At 36.9% G+C, this 24160-nt stretch overlaps 1 protein-coding gene across 3 annotated transcripts in view; it reads left to right on the top strand.

Moving 5' to 3' along the window:
- Positions 1-24160, top strand: part of CORIN (corin, serine peptidase) — a 244067-nt gene that overhangs the window by 63502 nt on the left and 156405 nt on the right. For all 3 annotated transcript variants that reach the window (NM_001278585.2, NM_006587.4, NM_001278586.2), the window contains one exon: positions 10980-11187. In NM_001278585.2, the coding sequence (NP_001265514.1) occupies positions 10980-11187 (208 nt within the window). The remainder of the gene's footprint in view (positions 1-10979; positions 11188-24160) is intronic.

Here is a 24160-nt window from a genome sequence, read left to right as displayed (position 1 = left end):
CTTATGGCGGAGAAGATGGTCATATTTTTAAGTTTATTTTAAAAGCTCTTTTAAAAATAATAATTTTATTATTTATCAGAATTATATATCTACTATTTAATTTAAGCAATATAGAAAACTGGAAGCATAAAGCAAGAAGGAAAAAATCATACCAAATTCCCCTACCCAGAAAGAAACCATGTTTAATAATATGAACTAAACATACTTTCACACCCGGGAGTGCAGGGCTCCTGCCCTGCCAGCTGAGAAGGGGGTGGGGCTCCCACCTGTTCCCGGCTCCCACCGACTTCGGCCAGTGGAGCATGCAGCCCTGGCCATGCCTCCCGCACTGCAGCTGGCATCTTCTCAGCATCTCCAGATGGGCCACCGCTGCCATCATAATCAGTAGTTTTAAAACTACCTATAAAAATCATTCTTACTTTTAAAAATTTATTTTAAAATCCCAGATAATTTTATAGACAAGTTTTATCACACTTTTAAGGAACAATTAATCACCATTAAATGCAAAATATTCTAGAGAAAATAGAAAATGCCGATAGGTAGTTTTGAATCAAGTAGAAACTAGATATTTAAAGCAAAGACAATATGAAAATGAAAATTATAGATCAATCTTATGGACAGAATGTTTGTCTCCCCAAAAGGTATATAATAAATATACCTTTTATCTTTTAGTAATTAATAATAAATATAAAAGATAAATATACCTTTTATCTTTCAAATCAATGAACCTGGTTTTAATAAATATATATACCTAGGTATACATTTATATACTAAATATACCTAGAAGGTATATTTATTAGAATATAAAAGGTATATTTATTAAAAGAAAGAAATGACATGTTTTATGTGTATTTTAAGGAGACTAGAAGTTCATTTTAAATGTTTCCTTTTGAGTATGTAGAACATGCCTTTCCTTACGATCTTATTCTCCATAAAATCTTCCTTTGCAGAGTCAGAGAGTAAAAAGGTAAACAATTGCTCAACTTGATTCTGACTTATGATAGATTTTAAGTTTAGAGGATTCTGAATTAGAGAGCGTTATTTAAATGAGCCTTTTACAAATACATTAAGGACCACAATACCCAGCTGGTGTAATCCAGGCTTTGGTATGCAGACCTGCCCTGTTAGTCCTAGAATTCATTACTCCCGTACTCAAATCTTAACTATTACTAAATGAGATTCCCAATAAACTACATAGGGCTGAAAGTCTACTGAGATCTCATCACCTTCATGAGTGGTGAAATTTAAAACAAACTACTAGTGAGGTAGTGGATTTTACAATAAATCCTTTCCTTATTGAACATGTTGCTCCAGTAAGTAATTTTTTATACTCTCATCATTATAGAATTTATTTTTACCACTGTTGGCATGAAAAACAAATAATTTCTATATGTGTTAAATTTTGGCTAAATATGTGAAATGTGGTCTAATTCCAAATTCTTTTTTTAAAAACATTCTATAGCACTAAGTGCCTTTGTATAGTAGAGACTCAATACGTATTTTTAAATGACTAATGTTTTAAAATGCTTACTTTTTTAAAAAAAAATTATAACTCCCAGCATTGTTTTATTGTACAAGTAAGCAAAACTAAGTAGTTCAATTTTGAATTTTGTTCCTATATAAATGAATAATTATTCCCTTTATAAATGGATACATTATAGAATCCAGAAGAAAAAAGCAGAATGAAAGCTTTCTGCCTCAATTTTCTTACCTATGTAACATGGATACAAATCTCTCCCCTGTCTAGTTCACAGAGTTTTTGTGAGTCACAAATGAGATAATAATAATAGCAAAAACTTCTTATCACATACTATGTGCTGGACATTGTGTAAGCATTGTTTTATCCTTATAATAAACCTATTACACAGTTATTATTATTTCCATTTTACAGATGAGGAAACTGATAAACAGAGGAGTTCAATAACTTGCCAAAGGCCACAGAAATATAAAATAGTAGCCAGGATTTTGAATCAGACTGTGGAACCACCATATTATGTATAGAAAACTGTTTAACAAACTTGAAGACACTATATACATTTTAATTATTGTTATCATTCATTCATAACTCTAGGATGGATGATTTTATGGGGCAAGGTGTAGTTCTTTCAAAATTTATAAAAAATGCCTGACAGATGCTGCTACAGCTGCAATGTTAAGTCTCACTTAATTCTATGGAATGTGAATAATTGATTTACAAAGAAATCCGCTACCTTCACGCCAATGGCGCCTCAATATTCTTCATCTGCCTCTTCCTACACATCGGCCGAGGCCTATATTACGGCTCATTTCTCTACCTTGACCCCTCACTGTGTTAAAGCATTGTCACAGTAAGTAGTTTCTTGAATGAATGAATTGCAACAGGTTATGAGCCTTTACTTATGATTTAAACATCTTAAAACCAAGTATGAAGGTGCGTTTAGGAATAAGATAGAGACAATTATCTATCTACCTATCTATCTATCTATCTATCTATCTATCTATCTATCTATGTAATGTGAAAGCTTGAAGCTTGGCAAAATACATCACCAAGAGAATCGGGGTGCATTAAAAAGCGTTTAGTCTAGAATATATACAATTATATAGAAAATAAACTCCCAAACCTCGTATTTCTCTTGACAAGAATAGCTAGCTTTTACTTAACTCTGATAATTTACGTGGCATTGCACAAAATACTTACATATTTTTGTATAACTTAGCAAGACATTGGCTTAACTGTGCCTTCACTATGTCTGTAAAGACTTTTTACAAATGTTGTAAATCACTCATTAAGAAAATGCATCTTTTGTTTCCTGATTTTCTCTTATGAGAAGTAGAATAGTTACTGTGTTTAGGTTTGGTTTACAGTTAGTTAAGACCTGAATAGAAAACCAAATACCACATGTTTTCACTTATAAGTGGGAGCTAAATGATGAGAACACATGGACACATAGAGGGAAACAATTCACACTGGGGTCTATCAGAGGGTGGAGGGTGGGAGGAGGGAAAGAATCAGGAAAAATAACTAATGGGTACTAGGCTTAATACTTGGGTGACGAAATAATCTGTATGACAGCCCCCCATGACACAAGTTTATCTATGTAATATACCTGCACATGTACCCCTGAACTTAAAATAAAAGTTAAAAACGAAAGCTTAAATCTTCATGGAGAGACCCTGTCTTCAGTTTTATGTTTTCTCTTAGCTTACTGTAACCCTCTTACAGATCTTCCTAAGTACACGATATCCTTTCAAATTGATTTTTCCCAGAAATCATTCTGGCAAAATGTTTCTTCTTAGGTGAATTATCTAGAATAGAGAATGACCTTCATTATTCCACTCTGCTGATGTAGTCCTGACCTGAGTTGACTTCCTGGTACAGCCAGGAACAGGCACCAAAAATTTCCAGTCTAGTTGGTCCCTCTGTGAGGGCTCATAACCCATTTTTTCCCAATGCAAAATGCTGCCTTTATTTACATGAAATATGAAAAAAGTTGTTGTAACATCACTTGGATCTGTTTTTATTTTTTAACCTCAAATAATTTTGGGGGGTGAGTATACTTAAAATCTACTTTCTTAGCAATTTTCAAAGTGTACAGGGCATTATTATTAACTATAGTCACCATGCTGTACAATAGGTCGCTTGATCTTACTTCTCCTGTCTAACTGAAATTTTGGATCCTTTGACCAACATATTGCAATCCTCACCCTTATACCCCTAGTCCCTGGTAGCCATCATTTTACTCTCTGCTTCTATGAGTTCAACTTTTTAAGATTCCACATATAAGTGAAATCATGTGGTTTTTGTCTTTTTGTGCTTAGTTGATTTCACTTAACATAATGTTCTCTAGGTTCATCCATCTTGTCATAAATGACAAGATTTCCTTCTTTTTAAAGGCCAAATCATATTTCATTGTGTGTATATACTACATGTTCTTTATCCATTCATCCATTGATGGACATTTTTATTGAGTCCATATCTTCGCTATTGTGAATAATGCTGCAGTGAACATGGGAGTGTAGATTTCTCTTCAAAACACTGATTTTACATCCTTGGAATATACAGCTAGTATTGGGGTTGTTGGATCGTTTTGTAATTCTATTTTTAATTTTTGGGAGGAATGTCCATACTGTCTTCCATAATGGCTACACTAATTTACAACCCTATCAACAGTGTGCAAATGCTCCCTTTTCTCCACATCCTCACCAGCACTTGTTATTTTCTGTTTTTTCATTTTTTAATTTTTGTTTTAGTAATAGCCATCCTAACAGGTATGAGGTAATAGCTCATTATGGTTTTAATTTGCATTTCTCTGATGGCTAGAGATGTTGAACTTTTTTTCATATACCTGTTGGCCATTCGTATGTATTTTTTTGTGAAATGTCTATTTAGGGCCTTTTCCCACTTTTAAATTTAGTTATTGTTTCCTAACTACTAAATAAAATTCCTTTTGTATTTTGGATATTAACCCCTTATCAGGTGTATGGTTTGCAAATATTTTCTCCCATTTTGTAAGTTATTTCTTTGCTGTGCTGACTGTTTCCTGGGAAGAAGCTTTTTAGTTTGATGTAATCCCATTTGTGTATTTATACTTTTGTTGCCCTTGCCTTTGGGATCATATTCAAAAAATTATTAACCAGACCAATGTCACTGAGCTTTCCCCCTATGTATTCTTCTAGTAGTGTTATAGTTTTAGGTTTTACATGTAAGTTTTTAATTCATTTTGAGTTAATTTTGTATATGGTGTAAAATAAGACTAATCTCATTCTTCTAAATCTTTATATCCAGTTTTTTCAACACTATTTATTGAAGAGACTGTTGTTTCCCCATTGTGTATTCTTGGCATCTTTGTTGAAAATCAATTGGTCATCAATGTGTGGATTTATTTCTGGATTCTTCATTCAGTTACATTGGTTTTATGCTTATACCCCAATATCATGCTTTTTTGATTACTATAGCTTTATAGTGTATTTGGAAATCAAGTAGTGTGAAACCTTCAGTTTTCTTTTCGCTCAATTTTTTTTTGGTTCTTTGTTTTTTGTGTGTTTCCATATGAATTCTAGGATTTTTTGTATTTCTTTGAAAAATGTTATTAGAATTATAATAGGGATTGCACTGAATCTGTAGATCACTTTGGGTAGTATGAATATTTTAATGAGATTAATCCTTCCAAACCATGAATACAGGATATTTTTCTATTTATTTGTGTTTCCTTTCACTTCTTTCATCAATGCTTCATCATTTTCAGTGTAAGATCTTTCACCTCCTTGGTTAAATTTATTCCTAAGTATTTTTTTTGTAGCTATTGTAAATGTGATTGTTTTCTCGATTTCTTTTTTGTACAGTTTGTTGTTAATGTATAAAAGCAGAACTGGTTTATTTTTATTTTTAATTTAAGTTTATTTTTCTCTCCATTTCTGATTGAAACAACTGATTTTTTATGTTGATTTTGAACATACTACTTTTACTACTTTTCTGAATGTGCTTATTCTAACAGGTTTCCTTGTGGAATCTTTAGGTTTTTCTAAATATAAGATCATGTTGTTACAAACAGAGACCGTTTAACTTCTTTCTTTCTGATTTGATTGCCTTTTATTTCTTTCTCTTGCCTAATTGCTCTGGTTAGGACTTCCAGTGCTATGTTGATTATTAGTGGCAAGAGCAGGCATCCTTGTTCTCTTCCTGATCTTAGAGGATGGCTTTTCTCTTTTCCCATTGCATATGTTGTTAGCTGTGGGTTTGTCGTAGATGGCCTTTATTGTGTTGAAGTACATTTCTTCTATACCTAATTTGTTGAAGGTCTTATCATGAAAGGATGTTTAATTTTCTCAAGTGTTTTTTCTGTCTTTTGAGATGGTCGTATGGCTTTTGTCTTTCATTCTATTAAGGTGATGTATCACATTTATTAATTTGTGTATGTTGAAACATCCTTGCATCCCAGGTATAAATTCCACTTGATCATGGTAAATGATCTTTTTAATGTGCTGTTGAATTTGGTTTGCCAGCATTTTGTTGAGGATTTTTGTATCTATATTCATCAAAGTTATTAAGGTGTAATTTTCTTCTCTTGTAGTGTCCTTGTCTGGCTTTGGTATCAGGGCAATGCTGGCTTTGTAAAATGTGTTTACAAATGTTCACTTTTCTTCAGTTTTTTGGAAGAGTTTGAGAGGAATTGATATTAGTTCTTTAAATGTTTTGTGGAATTAATAGTGAAGACGTCAGGTCCTGGGCTTTTCTGTGATGGAAGACTTTTTGTTACTGGTTCTTTCACTTGAGTCCGTGAGAAGAGACCACCGAACAGGCTTTGTGTGAGCAACAAGGCTGTTTCCTTCACCTGGGTGCAGGCGGGCTGAGTCCGAAAAGAGAGTTAGCGAAGGGAGACAGGGGTGGGGCCGTTTTATAAGATTTGGGTGGATAGTGGAAAATTACAGTCAAAGGGGTTGTTCTCCAGAGGGCAGGGATGGGGGTCACAAGGTGCTCAGTGGGGGAGCTTTTGAGCCGGGGTGAGCCAGGAGAAGGAATTTCAAAGGTAATGTCATCAGTTAAGGCAAGAACAGGCCATTTTCACTTCTTTTGTGATTCTTCAGTTACTTCAGGCCATCTGGATGTATACTTGCAGGTCACAGGGGATATGATGGCTTAGCTTGGGCTCAGAGGCCTGACAGGTTCAATATCCTTTCTCATTATTGGGCTGTTCAGATTTTCTGATTTTTCATGAGTCAGTCTTGTTAAGTTGTATGTGCCCAGGAATTTATCCATTTCTTCTAGGTTATCTAATTTGTTGGTGTATAATTATTTATAGTAATCTCTTATGATCCTTTGCATTTATGTGGTGTCGATTGTAAGGTTTTCTCTTCTGAGTTTTCTTTTTCTTAGCATCCTATTCTCATTTATGGATGCAATACCTATTTAAATCTATATATCTTGGCTCATAGGAGACAGTCATGGTTTATATTTATTTTCCTGGCATAGCTATTAATAGCTCATTGTTATCATTCTTTAAATTTTCTCAGGTAGGATGATAAATTACATGGGCACTTTACTCTGAAGTTATTGATGATTTTTTTAAAGTTCTCTTCTGTCTTGAACTATTTCTATTTTTTCAGAGCGACATTTTCAGTTATTGTTAACCTTATCTGTGGTACCAATAGCCATACCAGCTTTCTCAGTTTTCAGACCATTGTGTAATTTCTTTAGAGATAGATGAATATTTTTCTTTTTTTTTCTTTTTAATGGTGGTAATTTTGTGGCTGTCTTGTATTCTGTGCGTGTGGGTGGAGTGAGGAGCAATTGTTTCATATACAGATCTTTAATATCTCCCTTTTTTAGTTCCAGTTTTTGTTCTTCTCTGCCTTATCTGACAACTCAAGCCCAGAACCTCTCCTAGGTTCTGCTGGGCAGATTGACTTCATCCTCTTCCACAAACTTCAAAATTTCTTGCATGCTCTTTTTGGCTGGCAGAAATTTGCTAAAAATATTTATCTTCTGATGGAAGCCCCTCTCCATGCTCTTTGCTGTTATGAGTTTATGCCTTTTTCCCCTTTACTATTCTTTTTTTGGTGAAATGTCAGGAGGGAGGATATGTGCTTAATCAAACATCTTGAATAGGAAAATAGTTGTACCTTTTTTTTTTTTTTTTTTTGAGACAGAGTCTTGCTCTTTTGCTCAGACTGGAGTGCAGTGACATGATCTCAGCTCACTGCCAACCTCCGCCTCCCGAGTTTAAGCAATTCTTCTGCCTCAGCCTCCCGAGTAGCTGGGATTACAGGCGCCCACCATCACACCCGGCTAATTTTTGTATTTTTACTAGAGATGGGGTTTCACCATGTTGGCCAGGGTGGTCTCGAACTCCTGACCTCAGGTGATCCGCCCACCTCAGCCTCCCAAAGTGCTGGGATTACAGGTGTGAGCCACTGCGCCCGGCCTTTGTTTTCTTTTATAATGAGTATAATGATGCCTTCTCTATTTGTTTTTCTGGCAAAGGTTTCTGGTTGAACACCAGTATTCATTCTCCTTCGTTTGTAGTTGATCCCACTCCCCATTTTTATCTGGGCACATGTCAAACTGGAATAATCCTAGCCTCTCATGCAACTAGATGTGGCCATGTGACGACATTCTGGATAATGGGATATATGTGGAAGGGTCTTGTAGCAGCTGAAACTGTTCTTAAGAAATAGTAAGAGTGTGTGTCTTTGTCCTCTTTACTACTTCTCCACCCTTCTGTCTGGACTGTAGATTTCACTATCTTGGGCCATGAAGTTAGGGCTACATAAAGAGCCTATGTTTCTGGCACCACGGGATCCAATTCCTGTCCTAGACCACTCATCTAGACTTTTATGGGGCAGAGAAATTTTGTTCTGCTTAAAGCAATGTTATATTCCATTTTCCTTCACTACAGCCAAACCAAACCTAACTAATACAACCTTAAAAGATAAGGGTAGAAGTGGTTCGTAAACTACAAAGGGGTACTGAAATGTCAGATATTATCATACCTTACTCCAGATTCGATTTTGAGCTCTGCCTCTGAACCGGCTACTTTTCAAAGAAAGCCCCCTTTAAATATTTCAACGGCTGGATTAAAGTAGAATAAAATATATTCATCTGTTAAATGATTATATAGTTGTTAGTTCTTTAAAATGATTTCAAAACCACAAAACTATAGAAAAAGTGTTAGAATATTTTCAGTACATTAATCTCCCTAATAAGGAGTTTGTAAAAGTAGAAAAAACACCCCTAAAAGTCAGTAGGAAAAATCTTCCAAGCATATGAAACTGAAGACAAAATGCAAATGGTCCTTAAATATATGAAAAGGTGCTCAACTTCACTGGCAACAAGTTAAATGCAAATGAAAAATCACCCTACAATATAATTTCTCACCTATCAGATTAGCAAAAATCCAAAAGTTTGACACTGTTCTCTGTTGGTGAGACTGAGAAAGCAGACATCCTCATACATTGTTGGCGAGAATTCAAAATGGTACTTCTCGATGATGGGGGAATTTGACAATAGCTACCAAAATTCTGAAAGCATTTATCCGTTTACCCAGCAATCCTACTTCTGGGAATCTATTGTACATCTCAGGCATATGTACAGGTTACTTATTACAGCAATATAATAGCAAAAAGTTGAAAACAGTCCAAATATTTATTAAAGGGAGATTGCTTAAATAAATCCCAGTACAACATATAGTGGAATGTTATGCAGCAGTAAAGGAAACAGTGAAGCTCTCCAAATGCTAATATGGGAAAATTCCTAGGATTCTTTTTTTTTTTTTTTGGGGGACGGAGTCTCGCTCTGTCGCCCAGGCTGGGGTGCAGTGGCGCGATCTCAGCTCACTACAAGCTCCGCCTCCCGGGTTCACACCATTCTCCTGCCTCAGCCTCCCGCCACCACGCCCCCCACAACGCCCGCCACCACGCCCGGCTAATTTTTTGTATTTTTAGTAGAGATGGGGTTTCACCGTGTTAACCAGGATGGTCTCAGTCTCCTGACCTCGTGATCTGCCTGCCTCGGCCTCCCAAAGTGCTGGGATTACAGGAGTGAGCCACCGCACCCGGCCCCTAGGATGTTTTCTATCTTGCATTTTTAAAATGATCTCTTAATATTCAGTGGTTTCTTTGGCTGGGTGGAGGGAATGAGCCTTTTAGTATTCTAATTGCTTCAAATATGGGCTTCCATCAAAAGCATAAGCCCAAAAGCTGATAACCCCTAAATAAAATAATGTAATTAAAACTGATAAAAAGGTGTGGTCAAAATATACAGGTGTATTACATATTACTATACATACAGACCTTGAGATATGTCATTATATGCTTTTTAGCCTCTTCCTTTCATGAGCCATTAAGAATTATCTCAAGAACTATTTTTAACATAACCCTCTACATTAGCTCTAAGTAATGGAAATTACTCAGAAGACATAGGTTTCAGATCTGAAATTTCTACATAATGGCTATGCACCTCTAGGCAAATTTCTTAGCCTTCTAAAAATTGAGTTTTCTCATGTATAATATAGATATGATTTCATGTAACTGGGTCTTGAAACTGAGGCGATTGTGAATAAGAGAATCTTGTTTAAGCAGCAACAATAAAAGCAATGAATCTTTATACAGACAAGAGAATAAGGAATAAAAAAGAAAATGTGGTCGATTCCTAAAATCCCATCATATGAATGCATGTCAACATTTTTGTTTATATCGGGTCAACCAGGCAAATTTCTGGCATGAAGGCAATGGAAAAGCCATGGATATGGTGGCGCCCAAAAGAGCCAACTATGGGAGAAGATAATGTCAGAGGCTCTGAGCTGCTCCTGAACTGTTGACATAGGCGGGATTACAAATCTTTGCATAATTGTGTGTTTTAAAAACAAGATCATTGTATACAAATTGTTTTGTGACTTCCTACTTTTACTTATTATATTATGAGCATCATCCGTTGTGATTAAATAGTCTTCTGAAGCATCTTTCATGTACCTAAATTAAATATTCTATTGTTTGTTCCATATTCTAAAGAACAATTCTTTTTGCTGAATATTTAGATGATTTCTATCTTTTAAAAATTGTAAACTATGCAAAGATCAAGATCCCCGTAGATAAATCCACATTCACAAATATGATTATTTCCTTAGGATAAGTTTCTAGAAATGACTTGATAATGTCAAAGAATATGCATGGTGAAAAGATTTTTTTGGATACATATTGCCCTGCCCAGCTGTGATCCAAAAGAAAAGGTGATTGCCAGTTTATATGCCTACTAGATATGTATGAGGAGTATGTATTTTCCACACATTTTCCCAGGACACGAATGCTTTTCCTCTGTAAATATTTGTAGCTTGATTTCATTATCATACACATACACATACTTACATGCACCTATGTGTATGATTGCATATCTAAATTTTTTCTTGTGATAAGTATACTTTATCTTATAAACAAATATTAAATGAGTTTGCAAACATATACTTCTGATGTGTCCACTCTTAAATGTGCATGTCTTTACTTCCCAGGTGCCTGTATGAACATCACCCACAGCCAGTGTCAGATGCTGCCCTACCACGCCACGCTGACACCTCTCCTCTCAGTTGTCAGAAACATGGAAATGGAAAAGTTCCTCAAGTTTTTCACATATCTCCATCGCCTCAGTTGCTATCAACATATCATGCTGTTTGGCTGTACCCTCGCCTTCCCTGAGTGCATCATTGATGGCGATGACAGGTATTTCGGAACCCAGATTATTCAGTGATAAGAGTTGGTTATAGCAGAAGTGTCCTAGGAGAAAAAAAATTATCCAAATGACTCCCTTTTATTTTGGTTGTTATTAGCCACATTAGTCATGGCTAGTTCTAATTCTTTGAAAATAGAAATGTTTTGAAAATCTGGAATAATTTTATTTATGGGAAAAAATTATTCACAATGTTAGATTGATGCTATCAGAGGAATTCCATAATAGCTGTTCTAGTGAGGATCCAGCATAAGACAGACAACACACTCAAAGGGGTGATAAGAGAGTTTCTTGAAGAGACTATTTATGGAGCTGTGGGCAGGGTTAAGAGAACAAATAAGTGATGGGAGGCACCAGGGTCTCATGATACGGGGATACAGTTCCACCACCCAAGATTGAAGGGGAATAATGGCCAGTAGCACCTAGAGAGAGTTAGAGAGAGTTGTATCTATGGGTAAAGGGTCTTGGACAGGCCAGGTGCTATGACCCTAGGCAGAGGAGCACGGCCACTGCCAACCCTTCAGTCTTGCAGTGAGAGAGAAGGAAGGATAAATACCCTGACCTCACTCACCTCCCACCCTCCCATCTGCCAGTGCCTCTCATCAAATGAACTCATCCACAACCAGAGGACAAGGGTGCATAATTCATGTGAGCATGGTGGATGAGATCCAGAATCTCAACTAAATCTCATCAGTTCAAAAGTCCCAAATCTTATACTTTAAAGCAAGTGTGAACCATACATAGATGTTGGGTGGTTCTTCCACTCAACACTGGGAGGCAGAGCAGGGCAAGAAGGCCAAAGTGTAGACACAGAGAGATAGACAGAGGCTATCCAGCACAATATCAAACAGGATCAGGGATAATTTCAATAAGTACATCAATCAAAAGTATATCATGGAATTTTTGAAATATTAAGTATACACTTAAAAAAATTTCAAAGCATGTATTACTTATTCACATATAACATCAATTATTTTCTGAATTAAAATGTTACAAAGTTTTAGAATAGTAATACAAGAATAAGTTGCATTTTTTCTGTGTGTTTGAATTCCTATTTATGTTAAATTGGCAGATAAAATTGCATGCATTTACTGTGTCAACATGATGTTTTGAAGTATACATACATGATGGAATGGCTAAATCTAGCTGATTAACAAATACATCACATCACATTGTACCATTTTTGTGGTGAGAACACTTTACATCCATCATTTTAGCATTTTTTAAGAATACTACACATACACATATACATACAAATATACACATATGTGTGTACATATATATACAGACACATACATATATGTATGTGTGCATATATGTGTGTATACATGTGTATATATACATTAATATGTGTATATATATGTGTGTATATATGTATATATTTGTGTGTATATATATACACACTTAGAGATGGGGTGTCGCTATATTGTCCAGGCTGGCCTCAAGCTCCTAGGCTCAAGCAGTCCTCCTGCTTCAGCCCCTCAGCTAGCTGGGAGTACTGTAGGCACACACCACCATGACCAGCTAAGAATACAATATGTTATCAATAACTGTAGTCACCATGCTATACAAAAGATCTCTTTAACTTATTCCCCCTAGCTAACTGTAATTTTGTGTCATTTGACCAACATTTCCCCAATCTTCACCCTTGAACTTCCCCAGTCTCTTTTCACCTTTATTCTATTCTCTATTTCAATGAGATCAAATTTTAAATACTCTATATATGAATGAGATCCTGTGGTATTTGTCTTTCTGTGCCTGACTTACGCCACTTAACGAAGTGTCCTCCAGGTTGATCCATGTTGTGGCAAATAACAGGATTTTTTTCTTTTTTATGGCTGAATAGTATTCCATTGTGTATATGTGTGTGTGTGTGTGTGTGTGTGTGTGTATCACATTTTCTTTATGCATTCATTGGTTAGTGGATACTTAGGTTGATTCCATATATTGACTATTGTTCCATTGTCTCTCTCCCTCGCCTGGGGCCTTCCTATTCTGCGAGACACAGTAATATTCAAATTAGGCTAATTAACAACCCTACAATGGCCTCTAAGTATTCAGGTGAAGGGAAGAGTGGCATATCTCTCACTTTAAATGAAAAGCTAGAGATGATTAAGTTTAGTGAGGAAGGCGTGTTGAAAGCCAAGATATGCTGAAAGCTAGGCCTCTTGCACCCAACAGTTAGCCAATTGTGAATGCAAAGCAAAAGTTCTTATAGGCAACAAACAGTGCTACATCCGTGAACACACAAATGATTAGAAGGCAAAACAGCCTTATTGCTGATATGGAGAAAGTTTTTGTGGTCTGGATGGAAGATCAAAACAGCCACAACATTCTCTTAAGCCAAAGCCTAATCTAGAGCAAGATTGTAACTCTTCAATTTTGTGAAGGCTGGAAGAGGTGAGGAAGCTGGAGAAGAAAAGTTTGATGCTAGCAGAGATTGGTTCATGAGATTTAAGGAAAGAAACCATCTCCATGACATAAATGTGCAAGATGACGTAACAAGTGCTCATTTAGAAGCTGCAGCAAGTCATCTAGAAGATTTAGCTAAGATCATTGATAAAGATGGCTACACTAAACAGCAGATTTTCAGTTTAGGCAAAACAGCTTTGTACTGGAAGAAGATGCCATCTAGGACTTTGCTAGCTAGAGAAGAGAAGTCAGTGCCTGGCTTTAAAACTTCAAAGGACAGACTGACTCTGTTGTTAAGGTCTAATTCAGCTGATGACTGTAAGTTGAAGCCAATGATCTTTTACCATTCCCAAAATCCTAAGGCCGTTAACAAGTATGCTAAATCTACTCTACTCATACTCTATAAGTGTAACAGAAAAGCCTGGATGACAGCACACCTGTTTACTGATAGACCAATGGAATGGAATCGAGATCCAATAAATAAATCCATGCCTTTACATCAAACTGGTTTTTGACAAAAGCACCAAGAACACTCAATGGAGAAAGGACAGTCATTTCATGCAATGGAGAAAAGACAGTCAATAAATGGCATTAGAGAAACTGCTTACTGATTATTTTGAAGCCCATTTTTGACACCTACTGCTCAGAAAAAAACAGATTTCTTTTAAAATATTACTACTCACTGACAATGCACCTGGTCACCCAAGAGCTCTACGGAGATGTAAGAGGAGATGAATGTTGTTTTCTTGCCTGTTAACAAAATATCTATTCTGCAGCCCATTAATCAGGGAATAATTTTGACTTTCAAGTCTTATTATTTCAGAAATACATTTCATAAGGCTGTAGCTGCTATAGATAGATTGTGATTTCTCTAATGGATCTGGGCAAAGAAAATTGAAAACCTTTAGGAAATGATTTACCATTCTAGATTCCATTAAGAATGCTTGTGATTCATGACAGGAGGTGAAAACATTAACATTAACAGGAATTTGGAAGAACTTGATTCCAACACTCGTGGATGACTTTGAGAAGTTCAAGACTTTAGTGGAGAAAGTAATTGCAGAGGTTGTGAAAATAGCAAGAGAACTATAATTAAAAGTGGAGCCTAAAGATGTGACTGAATTGCTACAATCTCATGATCAAACTTGAATGGATGAGGAGTAGCTTTTTTATGGATGAACAAAGAAAGTGGTTTCTTGAGATGAAGTCTATTCCTGGTGAAGCTGCTGTGAACATTGCTGAAATGACAACAAAAGATTTTGAATATTACCTTAACTTATTTGATAAAGCAGTGGTGGGATTTGAGGTTTTGATTTGCATTGCCCTGATAATTAGTGATGTTTAACATTTTTTCATATACCTGTTGGCCATTTATATGTCTTCTTTTGAGAAATGTCTATTCAGGTTTTTTTGATCATTTTGTCATCAGGTGATTTGTTTTCTTGCTACTGAGGTGTTTGAGTTCCTTATGTATTTTGGATATTAACCCTTTATTAGATGTATAGCTTGCAAATATTTTCTCCCATTCCATAGGTTGTCTCTTCACTCTGTTATTTCCTTTGCTGTGCAGAAGCTTTTAGTTTGATGAAATCTCATTTGTCTACTTTTGCTTTTGATGTTTGAGCTTTTGGGATCATTTCCCAAAAATCATTAACCAGGCTATAGGTTCCCCCTATGTTTTCTTTTAGTAGTTTCATAGTTTGGGCCCTTACATTTAAGTCTTTAACCCATTTTGAGTTCATTTTTGCATATCCTATGCGATAAGAGTCTAATTTCATTCTTCTGCATGTTGATAGGCAGTTTCCCTAATGCCATTTATTGAGTGTCTTTTCTCCATTGCATGAAATGACTGTCTTTTCTCCATTGTGTGTTCTTGGCACCTTGTCAAAAACCAGTTTACTGTAAAGGCATGGATTTATTTATTGGATCTTGGTTCCATTCCATTGGTCTATGTGACTGTTTTTATACCAATACCATACTGTTTCAGTTACTATGTGTTATTATTCCAGTCTCACACTGCTATAAAGGACTGCATGAGACTGGGTAATTTACAAACGAAGGAGATTTAATTGACTCACAGTTCTGCATGGCTGGGAAGACCTCAGGAAACTTATAATGGTGGAAAGGGAAGCAAACACATCCTTCTTCACATGATGGCAGGAAGGAGAAGTGCGGAGCAAAATGGGGAAAGCCCCTTATAAAACCATCAGATCTCATGAGAACTCACTCACTATCACAAGAACAGCAACATGGGGGTAACTGCCCCTATGATTCAATTACCTTCCACTGAGTACTTCCTATGACAAATGAGGATTATGGAAACTACAATTTAAGATGAGATTTGGGTGGGGACACAGCTAAACCATATCATTATGCTTTGTAGTATATTTTGAAGTTAGGTAGTGTGATGCCTCCAGCTTTGTTTTTTTAATAGGCTTGGTTTGGCTGTTTTGTCTTTTGTGTTTCCATGCAAACTTGGGGATTATTTTTTCTGTTTCTGTGAAAAATGTCATTGGTATTTTGATAGGAATTGCATTGACTCTAGATCACTTTGGGTAGTACGGACACATTGAAAATATGAATTCTTCCAACCATGAACATCCATTTCTTTCCACTTATTTGTGCCTTCTTCAATTTTTTTCAATGTTTATAGTTATTTGTGTAGAGATCTTTCACTTCCTTGTTTATTCCAAAGTGTTTTTTGTAGCTATTGTAAGCAGGATTGGGTTTTTAAAATATATTTTTCAGGCTGGGCGTGGTGGCTCACACCTGTAATCCCAGCACTTTGGGAGGCCAGGCGAGCAGATCACGAGGTCAGGAGATTGAGACCATTCTGGCTAACATGGTGAAACCCCGTCTCTACTAAAAATACAAAAAAATTAGCCAGGCATAGTGGCAGGCGCCTGTAGTCCCAGCTACTCGGGAGGCTGAGGCAGGAGGATGGCATGAATCCGGGAGGTGGAGCTTGCAGTGAGCTGAGATCGTGCCACTGCACTTCAGCCTGGACGATGGAGTGAGACTCTGTCTCAAATATATATATGTGTATATTTGTGTATATATATATATATATATATATATATACATATATATATGTATATATATGTGTAAACTCATTTCAATCATTCTCCTGATTATAATTCAATCTCTACTTGAATGTTAGCTGTAAATTTTTAGTTAAGCTGCTTACAGTTTTCAGGGCACTTTTAGGTACAATTTCCTTTTCCCCTGACCTGATAAGTGTGCTAATATGGTAATTTTTTACTTCTATTTTCATGGATAATGATATCCATTATTATATTAGTTTTCAAGTATCCTTTGGGGCCTTATTTTATTTTTTATTGTGGCATTTATTATTATTATTTTTTGAGGCAGGGTCTCGCTCTGCTGCTAAGGCTGGAGTGTAGTAGTGTGATCTCGGCTCACTGCAACCTCTGCCTCTTAGGTTCAAGCAATTCTCCCTGCTTCAGCCTCCTGAGTAGCTGGGATTACAGGCGCCCACCACCGCGCCTGGCTAATTTTTGTATTTTTAGTGGAGATGGGGTTTCACCATATTGGCCAGGCTGGTCTCGAACTTCTGACCTCAAGTGATCCACCCACCTCAGCCTCCCAAAGTACTGGGATTACAGGTGTGAGCCACCACTCCTGGCCCTGCATTTATTATTATATTTAATTTTATAATTGCACTTTCAGACCAATGCTTCTTGCTGTCACTTAGTGTATGTGTGGGATCTGCAAGCTAAATTTAATAAGCAAAGTGAGTTCAGAGAAGTAAAATGTATTATAAAAAAAAATTCTAAAGTCAAATATATTTTTCTTTTATATTTCATTATTTTGGATCATTCATCATACTAATTTCCCCTGCTAACCAAATAATGAAGATTTGCTTGTATTTCATCCTAGAGACAATACCTACATAATACTATTTAAAACTTAATTTAAAAATATTATAATGGTATGTGTAAATGTTATAGTTTTTAACTTGATTCCTTTGAGACCTCAGATCCTGATCAACTATATCATATGTTATAACAATGAGCTTTCACAGTTTCTCTTTTAGACTGTGTCTGCTTTTAATAAATGTACACATCATGTACTGCAAAACAGGCTAATTGAAATGGAGGAGACCCAGCAGATTATCTCCAGCTTGCTTATATGTTCCAGTACATTGCAGAGATATTCCATGCTCCTGAAGTGAGATTTTAACTTTAAGAATTTGATGTGTTGGTTATTTGTTTTTCCCTCTGACATATTGATTTGCCATTAGGTCCTAAACAACTATTCTTAATATCTAGAGCAATTTTATAAAAAAAATTACTTAGCCACATGACTAAGATTAAAAATTACACCTGAAGCATGGAAACTACATGTTTTCTGTCATGTACTCAATTTTCCATAGTATACTACAGTTTTCTTTAGTGTACTTAATCCTTGTAGGTTTGCAGTGAGAACCAAATGAGTTTCCTCAAATGAGCTTCTTGAAAAACACCATACTGTTACCCAAATTTTATATTATGTGTGTTCACTGAAGATTAAAGAATTTCATCTGGCAACTGCAGAGAATGCGCTTGAAAGTTTGGGGGCAGATTACATTTGATTCAAAGCATAGCTCTGCCCATAGCCAGTTGTAAGTCCCTACCATAGTTTCTGAAGCCCTTTTTGCTTCTCTAGTGTTGTTGACCTGGCTCCAGTTGCACTGACCTTCCTTTCTACCTCTCAAAAATGCCAATCTCTTTCTAGCTTCCTTTGTGTATAATGTTCCTTTTACCTGGTAGTATCTTTCTCCTCACACTAAGCCCTCTTCTCAGAAGACATCTCTGCAGACAAATCTCTGATCACCCTCAATAGGGCCTGTTATCTTTCACCATGGCACAGTTATAACCCCTTTTGCCTGTCTGTTTATTGCCTCTCTTACTTTACAAGCTCCACAGTGGCAGAGAACTTGTTGACTTTGTACATCATTGTATACCCATTGTTCAGAACACTGCCCAACACATAGCAGGTGCTCATTAAATAGCTGAGTAAAGGAATAAATGAACTCTTCAATCAGGGAACCCTCCTAAATGTCTAGGTTAATGAGAGTTCAAAATATGTTGACTATAGTTGTACTACACTTTTTGTATAATTTATATGTTCCTAAAATTTTTGCATAAATCAAATTTTGTGTGTATATTAAGGGAATTGAAACTTTAAGGCGACTTGGATAATATTTCCAGAGATAATTTAGCTTCCTTCTGAAGCTCCTGAGCTTCCCTTTTTAAAATCAGGCAACACTGATGATCTGGTTGGCAGAATAACCAGCTAACAGATACTAAATTAACTCTCACTTCTCCATCACTGTTAAAATCCTGGACCTAATGGATGAGGAATTACTAGATTGTGCCTGAAGACTGGCTTAGCAGCTCTGTGCTTCTTCTTAATATTAACTCATATGCACTCAGTTAAAAAGACTTTCTAATTGAAAATTTTAGCATTAAAGTTTATATAAAGAACAGAAAGAAAACAACAATAAAATATGTAGAGGATACTGATGAGAATAGCGATTGAGAATCTGTTCATGTGAAGAATACTTGAGGGAACTGGGGGTGTGAAACTTTGAGGGCATACCATGGCCGTTCTTAGATGTTTCTGGGCCATGAGATGGAAGGGGGAGCATACTTTTTCTGTGTTCTTCCACAGGGCAAACATATTAATAGAACTAGTAATTGAAAGTCATTGAGAAGTAAATTCCTACTTAGCTAAAGGAAGAATTTTATGGATAATAAACTTGTGTAAATATAGAATTGTTGTCTCAGGAAATGGTGAGTTTGCTATTACTGGAGGTATTTAAACTGACTGATGAGAACTTACTGGAGACACTAGGGTAAGGAATCCAGCATCCTAAGGTTACTTGGTTTTTCACTGGGTTGAGAGGCAGGTCCGTTTACAGTGGCCCATGGCACTGATGAATAAGGAGCTCCAAAAACTCATGAAACAAGATGAAGAAAATTAAATTTAGCATAGGTTTTCTCAAAAACTCTTTTATGTTTGCTTTGGAATACTAATCAGAGAATCTACTTGAAGGTTTTGGGGGGCATTGTGTTGACATATGATGGATCATATCCAGTAGCAACAACTGGCCACCTAACTGCCTTCAGAAAGAATGGGCTGAGTTAACTGCAGGACTTCTGGTTTACTAAGTTGAGTTTGCAAATTGGGTCCCTGCTACCTGAAGTCCTGTTTCTCTTCAGTGCAAATCTCAGTTTCTCAGCTAAATAAATATTAAACAAATATTTAAAGAGTATCACCCTGGGGAGGAGCCAGGTCATCTGCTTGGACCCCTCTGTGTATTGGATGGATTGGTCTTTGCTTAAACAGTTCATGGTAGAAAATAGAATTTCAGGCTCTAGGTGTTAAGTTACATATGTCCCAAATTGTATCTCATTTGGGAATAAATGGAAACATTAAGGAATTAAATACTTTCATATTTATAATTTTTTAAAATATATATAGATCAGTAGTCAAACAAAAAAGATGAGCACTGTTGCTGTTACCAAAGAAATATTCTGAAGTCATTTGCTGCTTACTTTCCTGAATTTATCTGCTAACCTGGAAACAGCAGTCAGCCACATGAGTTCTGGCAACCTGGCTGTTTAGGCAGCTGGTTGTAGCAAAGTTCCCTTTTCAACATCAGGCAACACTGGTGACTTAGTTGCTTTTTTGGCATTATGCATAAAATATGAAGTGATAGATGAGGTTTCATTTTATGAGCCAAAATAGCTCAAAGCATAGGTAAGATACTGTCATATAATTCCAATTACTTTCATTTTACAAAGATGTAAAGCTAGAGAATCAGGCCATGACAGATCAAATATTTCTAAAAATGCCTTGTCATGTTACTGACAGTGTCACAAGCACACACATTTCATCAAGCTCTGTGCAGTACTTTTCTCCTCAATAATTCATCGGTATTATGTGTTGAGGAAAGTGAGGGACCCTGAATGGAGGGACCAGCTGGAGCCGTGGCAGAGAAACATAAATTGTGAAGATTTCATGGACATTTATCAGTTCCCAAATAATACTCTTATAATTTCTTATGCCTGTTTTTACTTTAATCTCTTAATCCTGTTATCTTCTTAAACTGAGAATGTACATCACCTCAGGACCACTATTGTACAAATTGATTGTAAAACGTGTGTTTGAACAATATGAAATCAGTGCACCTTGAAAAAAAACAGAGTAACAGCGATTTTCAGGGAACAAGGGAAGATAACCATAAGGTCTGACTGCCTGCGGGGTCGGGCAGAATACAGCCATATTTTTCTTCTTGCAGAGAGCCTATAAACGGATGTGCAAGTAGGAAAGATATCACTGAATTCTTTTCCCAGCAAGGAATATTAATAATTAATACTCTGGGGAAGGAGTGCATTCCTGGGGGGAGGTCTATAAACGGCCACTCTGGGGTTGTCTGTCTGATGCGGTTGAGATAAGGACTGAAATACGCCCTGGTCTCCTGCAGTACCCTCAGGCTTATTAAGGTCTGGAAAAGATCGCGTCCTGGTAAAGTTGAGGTCAGACTAGTTCTCTGCTCTCGAACCCTGTTTTCTGTTGCTTAAGATGTTTAACAAGACAATATGTGCACAGCTGAAAACAGACCCTCATCAGTAATTCTAATTTTGCCCTTTACCTTGTGATCTTTGCTTTGCCCTTTGCCTTGTGATCTTTATTGCCCTTTAAAGCATGTGATCTTTGTGACCTATTCCTTGTTCGTACACCCCCACCCCTTTTAAAGTCCTTAATAAAAACCTGCTGGTTTTGCGGCTCAAGGGGACATCACGGATCTACCAATATGTGATGTCACCCCTGGAGGCCCAACAGTAAAATTCCTCTCTTTGTACTCTCTTTATTTCTTAGACTGGCCAACTCTTAGGGAAAATAGAAAGAACCTACATTGAAATATTGGGGGCTGGTTCCCCCGATAATTATGTGGCTCTGACTAGAATGTATAAATAATACTTGTGATTCAATTCATTTGAATATCCGTATTCATGGCATCCTTTTATAATGTGTAAAAATCAAAACAACTGCAAAATAATTCAACAATTGCACATTTCTTTTGTGATCTGTTAATCTCTCATCCCCTGGGCCCTGGTAAGTATGCCAAATATTAATGAGAATCAGGAATGTGTTGGTTAAAAGAGTATGGACTTTTATATTCTCTTTCAGAGTGGCTGTGTCATTTTTACATTATTTATGCCCATCTTAATTCAAACTGTGTTTATCTGTTAGTATTTTCTAAGTTTCTGTATTTTAAGAGGGACACACTGCTATTGGCATAGCAAACAAGACCCTCAGTCTGTAGGCTTTTCATTTATGACAGTTTTACTGACATTTAACTCTTACGTGGGCATTACTTAAATGTTGAATAGTGCATGTAGAACCTGCTGACCTGAAGTGGAGGGCACCTCTTGGGCAGGGTAGTGTGAGCTTTTGTATTCCCAATTAAGTTGGGAGTTAGGTTCTCCTCCCAACTTTGCTACTGACAGCTTTATCTCAGGCAGGAGTCACCTCTGCGTGTGATTCATTTACTTATTCAACAGATAATTATGGAGTGCTGACTGTGCACAGGAGGGATAGAGCTGCAGATGAAATAAACAAATATCCCTGGCTTCACAGAGCTTATGTTATGCCGGTGAGAGATAGGCAGTAAGCAAATAAATAGACAGATAATAAATACTCGTTTAGCGGATAGTGATAAGTGCAATGAAAATAGCAAAGCAGGGGAATGGAGAGCTTTGGGAGGGTGGGAGTATGGTGAAAAGAGGTGCAATTTTAGGCAGTGTTGTTCAGGAAAACTCACTGCGAAGCTTACATTTGATCCATGAGGATCTGGAAGTCCGGGAGGTGAGGGAGAGCCGGATATACTGAGCATCCTGTCATAATTGATTGAAGTGGGAAAAGAGGTCATGATGGGATCAGTCCTGCAAGCAGTTACTGTTGCCAAGGTTGGGAGTGTGGGTGGGGGGGCCTGACGTAAGGGAGGAATAGAGGGTCTTACTAGGAACTAGCTCTATCTCAGCTCCTGGCATCAGTTTATTCAACAAAGATACCTGGAAAATTATCAATTTATTCCTTTAGCAAACACTTATTGGTGCCTATAATGTGCCAGGCACACTGCTAGATGCTGGGTTACGCAAATGAATAAAACATACTACTGTCTTCAAGGGACTTAGCGTAATAGAGGACCAGACATAAACACAATTAAATTGCTGTAAAATGTGATCAGTTTACAAGGCATGGAGGTAACACAGAGAAAGGGGAGGAATTCATTTTATCTGGCATTATTAGGGAAGGCTACTAGCAGGGAGGAGGTAACTGCTGAAATTAATTTTGGAGGAAGAAGAAAAATTTGCCATGTAAACAAGGTGGGGTAAAAAGGCAATTCAGATGAAGTAACAGCCAGATCTACCATATATTAGAGAGAGTACAGCTGGCTTAATTTTTCTAGAAAATAAAATGGGAGAGAAGGGAAAATGGATTTGACGGATTTTTAGGAAGTAATATTGGCAGTATTTAGTGATTATTTGCATATGAATGTCTAAGTTGACTGGAAGGCAAAGGCTTTTGGACTTGGAGACTTAGGTAGATGGTATTACCACCAAAAACATAATGTATATGCAGTCAAATGCTCTACCCCTGAGCTATACTCCCCGAAAAAATAATGTATGTGAAGGAGGAGTGGTAGAAGTGGTGGAGAAGGAGTTAATATTGAGATCATTTCTTATGTGGATTCAAGAAGTTCATGGCTGTAATTTTCTTTTGAGTGGAAATGAAAACAGCTTTCCTTCTGTAGTAGATGACATGATTTAGACTTTTATTCAGTGGTGTGCTGGTAAATTGGATCCCTGAGGAAGAAAAAACAAACCAACAACAAAACCATTATTTGCATAATTTGCTGATTCTTGTGGTGTAAACAGTCCCACCAGATGTCAAGCTAATCATAGTTTAACCGTCTGCTCACACATCACTGTGTTTCATCCCTTGACAAGTATTTGCTGAACTTTCACTAGGTGCAAGGCATGCAGCTTTGTGCTGGCTGTTTCTCATTTACTTCTCCATATCTACTTTCCACTCTCCTCCATCCTAACTCTTCCCAGGGGAGGCCGCTTCAACAGTGGCTACTTTCTAGCTTCCTGTTGGGTTCAGCCAATGGAAGCCACCAGCATGAGATCATAGTGTGGGAGAATAGACAGTTTGGGTAGTGATCCCCTGGTTTCCTTTCTGCCAGGTTACATGGGTTGACTGCAACCCACTCACTGTAAGAGGCCACGACCCCTATCAAGCAGCCTTCCCCATACAACTCTCTCCAAGTTCCAGAAAATTCTTTTTCCCCTTGTCTCTTAAACCTAGGGTGCTAACAGCTCCCTGCAGCAGCCTACTGTACTATGCCTTGTTGGTTTATCTAAACCCTGCCTGTACCTTTTCCTTCTGTAGGTGATCAGAGCCCTTCATTAAACATTCTGCAGTGAACCTGCTTTAGTGGCTCACCTCTTTCCTGGTAGGATCATGACTATTACA

Source organism: Homo sapiens, chromosome 4 (assembly GCF_000001405.40).
Source record: "Homo sapiens chromosome 4, GRCh38.p14 Primary Assembly".
Classification (NCBI taxonomy): domain Eukaryota; kingdom Metazoa; phylum Chordata; class Mammalia; order Primates; family Hominidae; genus Homo; species Homo sapiens.
This window is presented reverse-complemented; position numbering and strand designations above follow the sequence as displayed.